Source organism: Homo sapiens, chromosome 15, assembly GCF_000001405.40.
Source record: "Homo sapiens chromosome 15, GRCh38.p14 Primary Assembly".
Lineage (NCBI taxonomy): Eukaryota > Metazoa > Chordata > Mammalia > Primates > Hominidae > Homo > Homo sapiens.
In genome coordinates, this window is record NC_000015.10 from 73,157,884 (window position 1) to 73,174,734 (window position 16,851).

A 16,851-nucleotide genomic window follows, 5' to 3' on the forward strand; every position below is an offset into this window, starting at 1 on the left:
TTGTTGGAAGGATCCCTTCTCATTGTTCTTTTAAAAAAAAAATTGTTTTTGACCAAATGTGGTGGCTCACATCTGTAATCCCAGCATTCTGGGAGGCTGAGACAAGAGGATCGCTTGAGGTCAGGAGTTTGAGACCAGCCTGGCCAATATAGTGAAACCCCATCTCTACTAAAAATACAGAAATTAGCTGGCTTGGTAGTGCATGCCTGTAGTTCCAGCTACTCCTGAGGCTGAGACAGGAGAATTGCTTGAACTCGGGAGGCAGAGGTTGCAGTGAGCCGAGATCGTCCTGCTGCACTCCAGCCTGGGAGAAAGAGTGAGACTCTTTTTTTTTTTTTTTTTTTTTTTTTACAATTTTTTCTTCTAGATGGCCTGCAGATTCAGCTTGTTAAATTTGATAAAATTTCTCCTGGGATATTAAATGGCATTTCATTGACTTTACAGATTCATTTCAAAAGAATTGTGATTGATATATTTACAGAATTAAGTCTTTGTAGCCAGGTGTGTGTGTATATTATTATTACCATTTTTTTGAGACAGGATCTCACTCTGTTGCCCAGACTGGAGTGCAGTGTGTGGTCATCGCTCACTGCAGCCTTGACTTCCTGGGCTCAAGCAATCCTCCTGCTTCAGCCTCCTGTGTAACTGGGACCACTACGACACCCAGCTAATTTTTGTATTTTTTTGTAGAGATGGCGATCTCACTTTGTTACCCAGGCTGGTCTTGAAATCCTGGCCTCAAGCATTCCTTCTGCCTTGGCCTTCCAAAATTCTGGGATTACAGTCATGAGCCATCACACCTGTCCTCACTTTTATTTTTAATTAAATATTTTTAATAGATAACATATGAAGATGTTCTAGAAAGGATATATAGTGAAATATTACTGCTATGTCCCAGCCCTCCTCCACAGAAGCAACCATTATTTTTTTCTTATCCTTCTAGAGATATTCTATGCCTGTTCAAGCAAAGAAGTGTGTAAAAATAGCATAATAGGTGTAACAAGCAATCTTAGAGATTGTCATCATCAGGAGCAGATCCAGCTTTTTTGAGGTCTGCAGTGAAAACTACTTTGGAGGCCTTGTTTAAGACAGTGAGTAGCGAGGTGTGGTAATACACACCTGTAATCCTAGCTATTCAGGAAGCTGAGGCAGAAGGGTTGCTTGAGCCCCGGAGTTTGAGTTCTGCCTGGGCAACTATAGCAAGATTCTGTCTCAAAAATTTTTTTAAAAAGACAGTGAATACCAAACTATGTACAAAATGAGTAGTTATTTAGAACGAGAAAAGAAAGCACAATAAACTAGTTTTTCAAAGCTGATAAACACTACAAACGTTACCAAAACCCAGAAAAAACAGCACTTTAAAAATATTACCTTATACACGTATGTGTTGTAATATTTGTTTTTGCTGCATTTTGTTTCATTGTCTCCTCATATGTCAGTGATTTTGTAAGTCATTTTCTATGAAAATAGAAAGCTAATTTGGTCTTTTCCTCCAGTGTTTAAGATATAGTCATTTGAATATGACTCCACACCTTTGTGTCTCGGTGTTGGGTCCTGTTAGTACAGTGGGCAGAAGGAGTATTCCTGGAAGTCTTCCTATACTGAGACAGTTTAGGTATACACAAAAGTTTTGGCGAAAACCACATAAATATATCCCACTAAACCCACTAATGGTATATGTAGCTCAATTTCCTCTTGACTTCTCTTAAGTACAAAAATGACTTCAGCCACTCCATCATGACCTGGCATAAGGGCAAGTCAACATGGAAGCAGCAGCAGTCTTGATGGACTGTGGTTAAAATAGCTTACTATTTGGTGGTTCCTAATCTTTTGCTGCTTCAGTGTTCAGGGAATATCCTTATGTCTTTATGCAAATGTGTGAGTGTTTCTGATAGATGAATCTCTTGAGGTGAAATTGCTGTATCAAAGAGTTTATACAATTTAGATTTTTATAGATATTACTAAATCACCCTATAAAAGATTGTATCAATTTATATCATCACCAATATATATAAGACTGCCCGTTTCTCATACTCTTGTTATTTGCATATTACTTACATGAGTGAGGTTCAACATCTTTTCTCATATATTAGGAAATTCTGTGTATTTTCATTTTGTGCACTGTCTATATCTTTTACTCAGTTTTTATTTGTAATTTTTTTCTTATTAATTTGTTGGAACTTGTATATATTAGGGAAATTAGTTCTGTTATCTGTTTTCCCCCTGTTCATTGTCTTTTTACTTCATGATAGTTTTTAATTATGTATACTTTTAATTTTTCTATGTAGTCCTCTTGAATATACAAAAACCCCAAAACACCAAACTGTTGTTTTTCCTATTCTCTACTTTCTGCTCAACGCAGAAAACCTCTGTGATCCCAGAATGTGGGGGTTATTTCCCCACACACCAAGCAGTACTTCAGTGGACACCTGCTGTATGTCCTATAATTCAGTTCAGTTCTGACACTACCTACCTTTCTATTTTTCTAATAGAAACAGTACTACTTACTAAATACCGAGTTTATTTCATATGTATATTCTTGCCTCCTCACCATTTCCATGTAGAGATATGGCACTGGAGAGAGTGTCATATCTCACAGGTTGAGAGCTCAGGACCACCAGACTACCATCTCTCTTCAGGTGGTAGTCCCAAGTCTGGGTCTCCAGAACTTCTGACTGACTAGCTACAGATTGAGGTTCCCATGATCCCCTTGTTGGGTTTTATTAATTTGCTAGAGTGGCTCACAGGGCTCAGGGAAATGCTTACTTAAATTTAACCGTTTATTATAAAGGATATTACAAAGTGTTAAACAGCATAGGGCAAGGTACGTGGGAAGGGGCATGGACTTTCCATGTCCTCTCTGGGAACCACCCTTCAGGAACCTGCATGAGTTCAGCTACCTAGACGCTCTCCCAAACCCTGTCCTTATAAGTTTCTATGGAGGTTTCATTGTGTAGGCATGATTGATTACATCATTGGCCACTGGTGATCAATTGAACCTTGAGCTCATCTCCCCTTCTGGAGTTTGGGGAATGGAGCTGAAAATTCCAACCCTCTCATGTTTGATTCCACTGTTAGGTAGCCCTCATCTGGAGGCTATCAAGTACCCCATCAAGACTTGTCTTATTATAGGACAAAAGTTGCTCCTATCACCCAGGAAATTCCAAGAGATTTAGGGGCTCTGTGTCAGGAAACCAGGATGAAGTCCAAAGGCAGATTTCACAGTATCACAAGCCAATATGTTTAAATTTTCTTTTGTGACTTCCGAGTTTGTGTCATACTTAGTCCTCCCTCCAAGATTATATTTTTTAAAAATCTCATGTCTTCTAGTGCTTTTATGGCAGTGTTTGGTTTTAATCATTAAATTTTTGATACGTATGGAATTTACTTTGGTGTAAGAAATGAGATACAAATCCAACATTATTCTTTCCAAGTGATTACAGTTTCTAGGATTTTTTATTGAGTTATGTATCTTTTCCCTGATGTAATGTGTCACTTCAATCGTATGAGAATTTTCATACATATTTGCATCTATAGTTGTGCCTCCATTTTTTTATTTGAATAGAAACAGTGCTACTTATTAAAATGCCGAGGTTATTTCATGTGTACATTCTTGTCTCCCCACCATTTCCATGTCTGACCACTGCTACTACTGTGTCCTATCATAACATTCCATATATGCTTAAATCCAAGCAAAGGGTGGATTTCCATCTTTAAAAACTAAGCAGGCATTTTGGACAACACATTCTTGGCAGTGGAACTTGGACAACATTTATCAAACATATTAGGGAAAGTTCTCACTCTACATTATAAAAAGGACAACTGTATATCAAATGTTACATAAGTGAAATAAGATGGAAACATTTTTAAAACTGCTTAAACTATTTTCTTAAAGAGACTTTCTCCACTGCCAGAGATCTTGAATTACCTCCTGGTCAGTCTTCCAGAAGCAATTCTTTATATAATTGACGAACTTGGCTTCCACTTTGGGAAGAAAACCAGCTTTTTCTGTACTTCCTTGCTGTTTTGCTTTAATGTCTTCTACAGAACTAGGTTCTCTTGGTGTTTTAGGAAGTTTGTTTGTTTTTTTTTCTCCTGTTTTTTGAAGGATTCTTGATCTTGGTGTTGATGGTTTTGAATCTTTTCCATTTTGGTTTGATTTTTGTGCATTTTTGGCTGGAGTGTCTCATACAGATTTCTTCAGTGGAGCTTATTCTTGTCTCCTCTTCCTCTCCACAACCCGGGTAACCTTGCTACCACCTCCAGGGGCAGATCACTTTCCAAATGTACCTAAGAGTTTCATGTCCTCCTCTTCTTGATCTTCTAAGCCTCTTCACCTTCCTCCCCAGCTCCTAAGTGCTGTTACCTGATATGCACAGGCCCTGAACCATACTTCAACCCAAAGGCCATGGGTGGTGTTATTTCAAAGACCCCAAGGGAAATCATTGGCTGTTCAAATCATCATGTTCAAAGTTGCCACTATTACTTTATTTATTTTGTTTTGTTGTTGTTGTTGTTGTTGTTGTTGAGACAGAGTCTCACTCTGTTGCCCAGGCTGGAGTGCAGTGGTGTGATCTTGGCTCACTGCAACCTCCACCTCCTGGGTTCAAGCAATTCTCATGCCTCAACCTGCTGAGTAGCTGGGGTTATAGGTGTGCGTCACCATGCCCAGCTAATTTTTGAGTTTTTGTATTTTTAGTAGACTGGGTTTAATATGTTGGCCAGGCTGGTCTCGAACCCCTGACCTCAAGTGATCCACCCACCTCGGCCTCTCAGAGTGCTGGGATTACAGATGTGAGTCATCATGCCTGGCCAGTTGCCAGTATTATTTTAATTGGACTGCCTTCGTAATTCATTGTCTCTGTGTCAACAATCTGCAGTTCATCATTTGCACCAGCCTCTAAGCTGACCATTCTTAAAGATAACTGATGCTCATTTTCATCATTATCCACCTTAAGATGGTAATGTTTGTCAGCCTTTGGTTCACAATGAAAAACATGGTCCTCAGGCCTCAGGGGCTCATGTTCATGTCCATTGAATCTTCCATGGGGTGGTGGCACACACTTAGGTGGGAGAGAAAGCAGATAGAAATGAACAACTATTGCTTAAGAGAACAGCCACACAGGATGGAATCAAACCAGGCGATTCTTTAATATTTTGTTTCCTTAATAAAATTACATATTTTTCTTCCTAAAGGTTTTATACTTTACTTGTTAGGTACGTATCTATTTTATTGTTTTTGTAGTTATGAATTTGGTTTTTAGATTTACATTTTCTGATTTTTTTTTGATACGTAAGAATGTGAATGACAACAAAAAACATGTTAATCATTTATTCTGCTAGTTTACCAGAGATTTATATTTCATTCTAATAGTTTTTCAGCTTATTCTTTTGGCTTTTATTTTTCTTTTAAAAATTATTTAAGTAATGCAGTAACATTATTAAAGAATCAAACCGTATCAACAAAGTAAACCTCCTCCTTTATTGCCCCTTCCCCATTCCCACCCCTTTCCTCAGAGGATGACTGTTATTAGTTTAGTGTGTATGCTTCCAGGTGTCTTCAAAAAGCATTTACATACATGTACATCTACAAATAAATTTTTTTCATTAGCAGATATTATATCATCTAGTTTGCTCTGCAAATTGCTTTTTGTCATTACTGTATTTAAATTTCTCTCTGTTTGTACCTACAGGACTATAATCAGTATTTAAATGCCCCAAAGCGATGTTTATCAAACTTTAATGTACCTGCAAACCACCTGGAGATCTTTTAAAATGCTGAAACCGATTCAGAGGGTTTGGGGTGGGGAAACAGAGATTCTGTATTTCTAATAAGCTCCCAGATGTTGCCAGTGCTATTGGTCCTATACTACACTTTGATTGGGAAGGCTGTAACATATGCTTTAGACCTATTGTAGTTTGTGTAATTATTATTCCTGTTCATGAAATCATTGGGGTCCCTCCCCACTACAGATAGTACAGTAATGCACATTGGAATTTCTCCAGGTGAGAGAGATTTTCTTGAATATTCTGAGTAGACAGTCATTGTCATGATGTGTGTGTATGTGTGTGGTAGGGGCCGGTGGTGGATTTCTCCAACCCTTTTCCCGTATTTGTATTTTGTTTCTTTTTCTTATTTTTTTTTTTTTTCTTATTTTTTTTGAGACAGAGTCTCACTCTGTCGCCCAGGCTGGAGTGCAGTGGTGCAATCTCAGCTCACTGCAACCTCTGCCTCCCATGTTCAAGCGATTCTCCTGCCTCAGCCTCCCAAGTAGCTGGGATTACAGGCACCCACCACCACGCCCCGCTGATTATTATTATTATTGGTTTTTTTTTTTTTTTTTGAGACGAAGTCTTGTTGTGTCACCCAGGTTGGAGTGCAATGGCACGATTGATCTCAGCTCATTGCAACTTCCACTTCCTGGGTTCAGTCCATTCTCCTGTCTCAGCCTTCCAAGTAGCTGGGATTACAGGCACATGCCACCACACTCAGGTAATTTTTTGTGTTTTTGGTAGAGACAGGGTTTCACCATGTTGGACAGGGTTGTCTTGAACTCCTAACCTCAAGTAATCTACCCGCCTCAGCCTCCCAAAGTGCTGGAATTACAGGCATAAGCCACCACGCCCAGCCTCTTTTTCTTATTTCCTTAAATTAGCTAGGACGTGCAGTAGAATGTTGAATAGCTTCATCAATAGCTACTCTCTGACAGGAATATGAAATTGGTACAGCCTTTGGTAATATTTACCAAAATGTAAAATACAAAAACACCTTGACTTAGTTATTCCCTTTAAGAATCTATTCTTCTAAAACCCTTGCACATGCATACAAAGATATGTACAAGGATGCATATTATAGCATTTACCTGTAGTAGAAAAATGAAAAGTAACCTTAAGTGTGCATTAATAGGAGAATAATTACATTGGGATATGGTCATACCATTGACCTACTATGCTATATATGTGGCTACATGTATACTAATATGCAGTATTATTAAGAGAGAAATACAAGTTGCAGAAAATTAGTTATTGGTTGACTCAGTCTGTATTTTATTTTATTTTTTAGAGATGGGGGTCTTGCTAAGTTGCCCAAATTGGAGTGCAGTGGTGTAATCATAACTCACAGCAGCTTCGAACTCCTGGGCTCAAGCAGTCTCCTGCCTTTGCCTCCTGAGTGACTGAAACTGTAGGCATGTTCCACATGCCTGGCCAATTTTTTTTTTTTTTTTTTTTGTAGAGATAGGGGTCTCACTATGTTGCCTAGACTCCAGTCTGTATTTTAAAAACAAGTTAAGTGTGTGTGTATATGTGATGTGTTTTAAATACATAGAAAAATGTTTGGAGAGTTCACACACCAAAAATATGAATAGTATTTCTCTCTAAGGAGGGTACTGGTGTTGACAGGTAGTTTGAAGCTTGATAAAGAGGAGGCTTTTATGTTTTCTGTGTTCTGTACACCTTTTATACTGAGTACTTTTCACCTTCTTAACTTTGAAAATGATAAAAAGGAAAGTAGAGAGATGGAGAAAATAAAGCAAACAATACTGTCAGTTAACAGAAAAATCCAACTGTAGAACAGTAGGGAGAATCAGAGAGCAGGTGAATTCAAACCATCCAGTAGTCAATTTTCTTAAATAGTCAACAAGCATGGTAAAAAATCAAATGGTACAAAAACATATGTGGTACTGTTACAGTCCTGCCAATGCACCACAGTGTAGCAATCTCTTGTGAGATATCACCTGGAGTTCAGAGTTCTTTGTCTCAGTGATGAAGAGAATTAAGGGGCGTGGACACAAAGGGTGAGGTTGGAACAAAAGTTTAATAAGTGAAAGAAGACAGCTCTCCACAGCAGAGAGAGGACCCAGAAGAGGATTGCCGTTTTTACAGTTGAATGCAAAGGCTTTTTAAAAGAAACCAGTGAGGGCTGAACATCTCATTTACGTAAGGTGAGAATTTCTGATAGCTCTACCCAGTCCTCCTAATGTGCATGCAGGCGGTTAGCTTGAGTTATTCCATATCGCTTTGTTCCCCTTACTGCACATGTGTCAGGAGACGGGATTTTCCATTGTGGGCATGTCTGGGCAAGTCACCTGTGTAGCCTTTCTTATCTGTGTGGCTGTGGACATGTCTTAGGCAAACCTCCCTGTGCAAGTTCCCTTATCTGTGCCTGCAGCTTGATTTTTCAGGTTGTTCTGTTTGAAATAATTCCACTGAGGACCCACCCTAACTGCCTACCTTACCGGTTTCTTCCTTTCTCCTCTCTCAGTACTGTGATACCACCCCCATACCTGCTATAGTGGCTTCTCTCTAAAAACAGAAAATAGCAAGTGTTGGTAAGGATATGGAGAAATTGGAACCCTTTTGCACTTTTGGTACAGCGAAAAGTATAGTTGCTGGTAAAAAGTATGGTGGCGCCTTAAAAAATGAAAAACTAGAATTACCATTTGAACTAACAGTTCCTCTTCTGGGCATGTTACCAAACTGAACTTCGGTCTGCCCACCCAGTGCAGCAAAGCTAAACACTGACATTTGGATTGCTGCAAAGAGAAATGGAGATGTTTATTGCAGGGCACCAAACAAGGAGAATCGGATAGCTCATGCTTAAGACCTGAACTCTCCAATGGCTTGCAAGCAAGGGTTTATAAAGGCAGGGGGAAATTTCAGGAAGGTAGAAGTTATAGGCAAAATCATAAGGCAATACATGGAGGTTATACATTGGTTTGGCCTAAAAGGGCGGGAGATCTTGAAGTGGGGTTTACAGGTTGTAGGTAGATTTTCTGATTTGCAGTTCATTAAGGAAGAGAAGTTTTGTTTTAAAATCTGGGGATCAGCAGAAAAGAATATTAGTTCTGGCTCATGGGTGTGACTTCTCCCAAGTCCCTCAGGAAGAACTTTAGGACAAAGATATTCAGTCCTCAGTTCCCCCTTACCTGATGTGTACATGCCAACAGATCCATTTGGTGGGGTCCAGGTTTCTGAAAAACAACCCAGGGACATGTGTCCATCAATGATAGACTGGATTAAGAAAATGTGGCACATATACACCATGGAATACTATGCAGCCATAAAAAAGGATGAGTTCATGTCCTTTGTAGGGACATGGATGAAGCTGGAAACCATCATTCTCAGCAAACTATCGCAAGGACAAAAAACCAAACACTGCATGTTCTCACTCATAGGTGGGAATTGAACAATGAGAACACTTGGACACAGGAAGGGGAACATCACACACCAGGGCCTGTCATGGGGTGGGGGGAGGGGGGAGGGATAGCATTAGGAGATATACCTAATGTAAATGACGAGTTAATGGGTGCAGCACACCAACATGGCACTTGTATACATATGTAACAAACCTGCACGTTGTGCACATGTACCCTAGAATTTAAGGTATAATTAAAAAAAAAAAAAAGATGTTGCCTTTAGTTTCTATAGGGAACCAAACATCCCACGACTCTAACTTCCTTGGCTATTGTTTTAAGCTGCTATTACCCTCTTGCTTATCAAGTTGTTCATTTGCTTCTCAGGGCCAGCTAGGTGCCTGGAACTTCTCTTGAAGGAACTCAAGATTTTCCTTTATTTCCATGCTGGGGGCGGGGGAGGCCCATAGGCCCCTCAAGGGGTTCCTGCTCCATCTGAGGTCCATGTTCAAAAGAATTGAAAGTAGGTCTCAAAAATATATTTCTACACCCACATTCACAGCTGCATTATTCACAATAACTGAAACATGGAAACAACCCAAGTGTACGATGATGAATGAATGGATGTTAGATGTTGTGTATACATACAATATTGAGACATCAAGCAAAGATTAAGTATGTTTAACTTTGTTAAAGAAGTGGAGCCTATATTTAATAAAGGTTTTTGTGAATTTTTCAAAATAAAAATTGATATATAGAATACAATTTTTCAAAGTTAAGAGCTTTAGACCGTAAGACCCAAAGTTTGAGGAACATTGCATTACAATTAAATCATGTGATCACAGAGCTAACATGTAAACATGAGCACAAATGTTGGTGCTGAAATTTCATGTTCATGAAAATTTTACATCATCATAAACATTTAAAAGCAAAATTTAAAATTCATGCAGAAAGTCAGACACTCAAGAGTGGACTTAGGAGAAACAATGATATAAAACATTGAATTCTTAAGAAACTTGAGAATCCTTGAAAAAAATTCTACTAATATGCATTGAGCACCTATTTTGGTTTAGGCCACTGGGATTTCAATAGTAAATAGGGCAGTCAAGGGCTAGAAACAGGAAAGAGTGAGGGACTGTGTGTCAGGAAATGCTTCTTTAAGGAAGTTTTTTGTTTTGTTTTGTATTTTTGAGATGGAGTCTCCCTCTGGTGCCCAGGCTGAAGTGCAGTGGCACAGTCTCGGCTCACTGCAACCTCTGCCTCCCAGTTGATTCTCCTGCCTCAGCCTCCCAAGTAGCTGGAATTACAGGCATGCACCACAGGGTCCAGCTAATTTTTGTATTTTTAGTAGAGACGGGGGGTGGGGGGGGGGGGTCTCACCATGTTGGCTAGGTTGGTCTCGAACTCCTGACCTCCAGTGATCCACCTGACTTGGCCTCCCAAAGTGCTAGGATTACAGGTGTGAGCCACCGCGCTGGCCGAGAAATACTTTTAATTAGTATCAGATGGATGAGTACCTGTTAGCTAAATTGAGGGCTAGGGTAAGGAAAAGACAATGAGACTAGGGGCAGGATTGGGATGAAAGGAGAGAAATATAATTTCATAGTCAAGTGGAAACATTGTTATAATATTACTTCAAACTTACATCATAAGTTAAGTTATGATGTCACCTGTTTCTCTTGGAGAAGCCTATTCACCTTCATTGGAATGGGAAGCTTTCTCAAGAAATGTCAGAGGATTCAAATATATTCTTGCTTTGTTAGTTGAGTCAGTACCAATAGTACACTTGTGATTAGACTGTCAAACAAAATCCCTGAAGGGATTTCACACTGTTAAATGCTTGGTTTTTATTTGTTTTTATTTGTTGGGTTTTTTTTTTTAAACGGCATAGATGTAAATTTGTGAATTACAGAAAAGAAGCAGTTTTAACATGAAATGGACAAAATTGATTTCTTTCTCTGCTTACAGAGCTTAATAAGAATTTCAGTCCATAAGCCTTTCAAATGAAACAATAGAAACTCCAACAATTCAGAGCTAATGTAAATGAAAACGGTTATCTTCCAAATCACAGCATAATAAAGTAACCTTGAATCATTGGTGTTGGCCCTATATTGTTATTTATTTGAATTAAATGGCAATTTTCAGCATTATGTAACAGTGATGGAATTAAGTGATGTTTCTAGTAAAAGAATTTTGCAAGTATAATATATTTTAGTATTAAATTCCACTTGTACATTTAGCAATTAAAATTATTCCTGAAATGATGATGGCATTTGAAGGGATAGGGAGCTGTCAAAGAGGATTTGAAGCTTAATTATCTCTTTGGTAACAAAATGCATAATCTTCCATTACAACACTTATTTTCTTATGGTAATTGACTCATTTGTTCTCTGGTTATCAATTTAACTTCCCAACCACAAACATCTGCTCTTACAATTGTGTTTAATTGGTGTGAATACTATCTACAGAGTAGTTAAAATCCAGAAAACATTTTAAGGGCATTATTTTATAATTCATGAAAGGGAAACTAATGATTAATTGAACATTGCTTATGATGATTTTTTCTAATAGTCTGTGAAAGTCTGTTTACTAAAAATGCATACCGAAATTATCTGCTCCCCCCTCCTTTTTTTTTTTTTTTTTTTTTGGAAGAGGCTTTTGCTGTGTTTTCCAGAGTAATTATTTACTCTGCCTTAGGGGGAGCCTCAGTTCTTGCAGTTCTTTAGACTCAAGGAATATGTTAATGTCTTGGAACATGGTACCTTAGTAGTTAAGAGTATAGGCTTTGAAGGTAGAAAAAAATTAGTATGCTATCATTTATAATCTAAATAAGAGGATTGGGGACAAATTGTGGGTGTGGGTATGTGCTTATAATTTTCATAATGGAATAATAAATCATAAATTTACCAGTAGGGTAAAGGAGGAAATAGGATGAGAGAAACAGGGTTAGAAGGTAGGTAGGTTTGTTTGAATGTACCTTGTCTTTATAGATTTAAAAATTTACAAAGTAGTTCCTGAAACTGGAAAGTAAAATGAAACAGGCGACTCCAAAGGTGTATCCAGTTGGTAATACAGCCACACAGTAAGTTACAATTCTAAGTATATGGAATTATAATTCCATGTAAATTTAAAATTGTAATTGGACTATAATGTACCTAGTGGGATTTACTCTAAGGACACAACTGCAAAAAATCTTTGGTTGTTTTCTTTTATCATATTGTTGGTACAGATGTTTATTCTGAGACTATGGGTGTAGGATAAAGTAAATGAGTAATTATGTTAGTGTCATTGAGAACAGATTTTTGGCTTGAGATACAGATGTAAAATTAAGAAGATTCAGCTAAAAGCTACAGTCTTAGACTTAATTGAAAATATCAGTAGGAAATCATGATGAAGTTTATATTTAAAAAATACAAAATTGCTGACTTTGTCCACAAAAAGGGTCTCAGAGCAATGACCATAAACTGAAGTCCAATAGAGTCATGTGAAAAAGGACTCAGGAGCTTTCACTGTGTTCAGGTTTCCTCCATTGGTCAAATATGGGATAGTTTAAGAATCAAAAGAATAATAACCTGAGTGAATTGAAACAAACCAAATATATCTTAAACTAAAGGCTCTTAATACTTAAATGAAAAATCCTCAGCAATTACCTTTGGGAGAGGATATTAGAAAACCAGCTCACTGTTTTGAAAACGTAAGTGAAGGGAAAAAGTCAAGCATTTATTCTGCCCCTTTTCGAAGTACGGTACTTTAGGATAACCAGATAATTGTGGGGTTATCCTAATAATTGAAGGAATATAGTAATAAGTAATATAAGGGATGTTTCTCTTTACAGAATGAGTGATAGAATAAGAGTATTACTATTTTGCACCGCCTGATGGGCAATGATAACCAAAGGCTGTTAACATCACCAAAAGAGAGATAGACACACATGATGAACCTCCTGATAGATGCACATGGAACTGCCTATGAAGTAGTCTCGGGGGAAAAAAAAAAAACTAGCCTGACTCCAATCAGGGTTCTACATTTAACTGTGAGCTTTCAGAAAGAACATGTTAAATACCACTATGGCAATGTGGTCAGCAAAAGACAGATTGCAGGAAAACCTTATATTACAAATGACTTGGTTTCTTAAACAAATTTCAAACAAAAGATAAAGAGGAGTCTGTAGATGGAAAAAAAAACCTAAGAAACAAATTAACACCAGTGAATGCACCTTGTTTGCCCAATTTGAATAAAGTAGATCATTTTTAAGAACATAGAGGCCAGGCGTAGTGGCTCATGCCTGTAAACCTAGCACTTTGGGAGGCTAAGGTAGGAGGATCGCTTGAGCCCAGGAGTTTGAGACTAGCCTGGGCAACATAGTGAGACCTCCTCTGTATTAAAAAATCAAAAAATTAGCTGGGTGTGGTGGTGCGTTCCTGTAGTCTCAGCTACTTGAGCGGCTGAGGCAGGAGGATTACTTGAGTCTGGGAAGTCGAGGCTGCAGTGAGCCATGATCATGCCACTGCACTCCAGTCTGTGCAACAGAGTGAGAACATTGGCCAGTTAGTGAAATGTGAATACCGACTGGGTAATAGGTGATATTAAGAAACTATTATTATTATTATTATTATTATTATTATTATTATTATTATTACTTGAGACAGAGTCTTGTTCTGTCGCCCAGGCTGAAGTGCCGTGGCACAATCCTGGCTCACTGCAACCTCCACCTCCTGGGTTCAAGCGATTCTCCGGTCTCAGCCTCCCGAGTATCTGGGACTACAGGCATGAGTCACCACGCCTGGCTAATTTTTGTATTTTTAATAGAGACGGGTTTTTGCCAAGTTGGCCAGGCTAGTCTTGAACTCCTGACCTCAGGTGATCACCTGCCTCGGCCCCACTAAGTGCCAGGATTACAGGCGTGAGCCACCATGCCCGGCCAATAAATTATTTTAGATACCAGCCTGATGATGGTATCATGGTTATGTTTAGAAATGAGAGTTCTTGGCTTATAGAGGTACTCATTTATATATGAAATAGTGTAATACGTGGAGTTTGCTTTCAAAATAATATGTGTGTAGGGTAGAGGCTGGGAATGGAATGGATTAAGGCATAGATGAATCAGTATTGACCATGACTTGATAATTGTTGAATCAACGTAATAGGTACATAGGATTTATTCTATTCTCTTAAATAAAAAGTTTTTTAAAAGAATATAGGTTTTGGAGTCAGACTGCCTAGGTTCAAAATCCAGATCTGTCACTGACTAAGCCTTGTGCTATGGAGTTACTTAGCGTCTCTGTGTATTAGTGTCCTTGCCTATAAAATGGAAATAATATAATATTAACTGCATAATAGAATTGTTCTAGGAACTAAATGGTTATAAGTGGAAAGCGCTTATGAATGTTAGCTTTGATGTGTTCATTATCACACATCAAAGATATACGTTAAAGTTATAAATCATTGGCTAAAGATCTTAGTGTACTTAGGAATAGTCTAGTTGAATTCCTTATTTAGTAACCCAGGAGTTTGAAACCCACATTTAGCAAAATGTCCAGTGGTAGAACCAGAACTCAACTTTATGTCTCTTGACTCCTAGTCTTTACAACTGCTTCACAGTAAATCACTTCAAAGAATATCCAAGAGTCAAAAGACAGAATTTTTACAAATTTAGTTAAATGATATAATGGCTTTTAATAGTAATTCATGAGTCAGGCAGCATCTCATCTAAAGAACAGATAAGCACTACACTGGGCAGGCAGAACAGTTAGTTTTTGTAGGGAAACTTGAGCAGGAACAAAGAAACAGTGGATTGGTTAACATTAGTTGCTTCAGATTACTTTCATTGTAAGGGTCAAAGCAGAGGGGACTTTCTTATGTTGGCTAAAACTGTCCCATTTGGGGATTTGACACACACACTCTCCTGATTTCTCAGAAGGTCAGATAAATAACTTAGGTTTAGTTTGGTGATATGCAACTTTGGCACGAGTGACTGCATTTTGGTTCAGTCTGTTTGGTTTGATCTGTAGAGTAGAAGCTCAATCCATATTAGTAGTCTCCCATAAATTTTATTTAACACAAGTAAGCTTAAGTAACCTTGTTCTAAATAGAAAGACTCACAGTTGCAAACATCTTCAGTTTTCCTGTATCTAAAATGTATTGCAGTTCAAATGAAGACTCCAAGTTCTTGTTTGTCTGTTTGCTTTGAGAAGGAACAGACAAACTTAACATAAGATGAGTCTAAATTTATCTGGGGAGTGGAACACTAAACAAACATGTTAGAAAAATTTTGAGGAAATAAAGGAAGAATATTTGTTCCACCATATATTATAACATATTGCATAGTTATAATAATTTTATGGTTCTGGCCCAGGAATAGGCAGATGGATGAAACCAATTAGTGTCCTGAAATAAACCCCCAAGAGTACGTAGATTTTAGTATTAAATCTTTCAAATCTGTCATTCTTTTTGGGATGACTGATCTTGCCAGATATATGTAAAGCTGGATACTTAGTAAGTCTAGTTTGTTTCGTAGAAATATTAGAAGAAAATACAAGTGAATGTTGTTATAGTACAGAAGAAGGGAAAGCCTTTGGAGTAAAAATAGTGAAATACAGATGCTAAAATGGAGAGAACTTATAAATTTTACCATATGCAAACGTAAAACTTTGTTACAATAGATGCCTTAAGTTAAAGACAGAAGAGGAAACAAATATTGGCAGCATGTATAGCTTACTGTATTAGTCAGGGCCCAGTTAGGAGCCAGAAACTATACTAGGCATTTGAACAGAGCAAATTTAATATAAAGAATTATTAATGGCCGGTCGCGGTGGCTCATGCCTGTAATCCCAGCACTTTGGGAGGCCGAGGCAGGTGGATCACCTGAGGTCAGGAGTTCGAGACCAGCCTGGCCAACATGGTGAAACCCTGTCTCTACTAAAAATACAAAAATTAGCCGGACGTGGTGGTGCACGTCTGTAATCCCGGCTACTTGAGAGGCTGAGGTACAAGAATCGCTTGAACCTGTGAGGCGAAGATTGCAGTGAGCCGAGATCACGCCATTGCACTCCAGTCTGGGCAATAGAGCGAGACTCCATCTCAAAAAAAAAAAAGAATTATTAACTATTAAAATCTACTTACTAAAAAGGGCAAAATAGGACATTAAAGAATACAAAAATAGTAAATATAGGGATTAGCTATGACTACCTCTTGAGCTGAGGGAGAGAATCCAAAAATCAGGAAGACTGTTGTTCAGACCTTGTTGAAGAAAGTGTAGCTGCTGCCAAAGGACATAGCTATGGGCCAAAGCTGGGGCACAGGAAATCCCCTGCTGGGAGGCCTCAGAGCTGGTGTGCAGAAAACACCTGCTGGGGTGCTGTGGGCTGGACAGATGATAAGCCGAAAATTGCCCACTGGGATGACATGAGTTGGAGCTGGTGTACAGGACCCTATCCAATGGGATGCAGTGTGTCAGAGCTGGTGCACAGAAAGCCCCATGCTGGAGTAAGCTAGAGAAACTTACAGGAGGGTGATCATTATTGGGTCTTTCACAATCAGCCTCACCATAGGAGCAAAAAGAAGAGCATCCTCCAAACTGAAAATTAAGCCCATCACTCTGCTTTGCTGTGCAACAAAGCACCAGCTGACAAAAGTCCATATCCACTACTGCAAAGAAGGACAGATTTGGAGCTGAGAGCCTTGAAATAATAACTCTCATTATACCAAAAGCTCTTAT

General features: G+C 38.4%; 1 protein-coding gene and 1 pseudogene across 29 annotated transcripts in view, besides 1 other annotated feature; one reads left to right on the forward strand and one right to left on the reverse strand.

Annotated features, from left to right (window-relative positions):
- NEO1 (neogenin 1) overlaps window positions 1-16,851 on the forward strand; it is a 253,515-nt gene that overhangs the window by 106,192 nt on the left and 130,472 nt on the right. The window lies entirely within an intron of this gene.
- NPM1P43 (nucleophosmin 1 pseudogene 43) lies at window positions 3,595-5,063 on the reverse strand (annotated as a pseudogene).
- Window positions 7,469-8,668: an enhancer, noted in NCBI's record as "MED14-independent group 3 enhancer chr15:73457693-73458892 (GRCh37/hg19 assembly coordinates)". NCBI's record gives its function as "activates an origin of replication core promoter dependent on BRD2, BRD4, P300/CBP and CDK7 cofactors, and independent of MED14, by STARR-seq in HCT116 cells {active_cell/tissue: HCT116}" and the evidence as "EXISTENCE:reporter gene assay evidence [ECO:0000049][PMID:35650434]".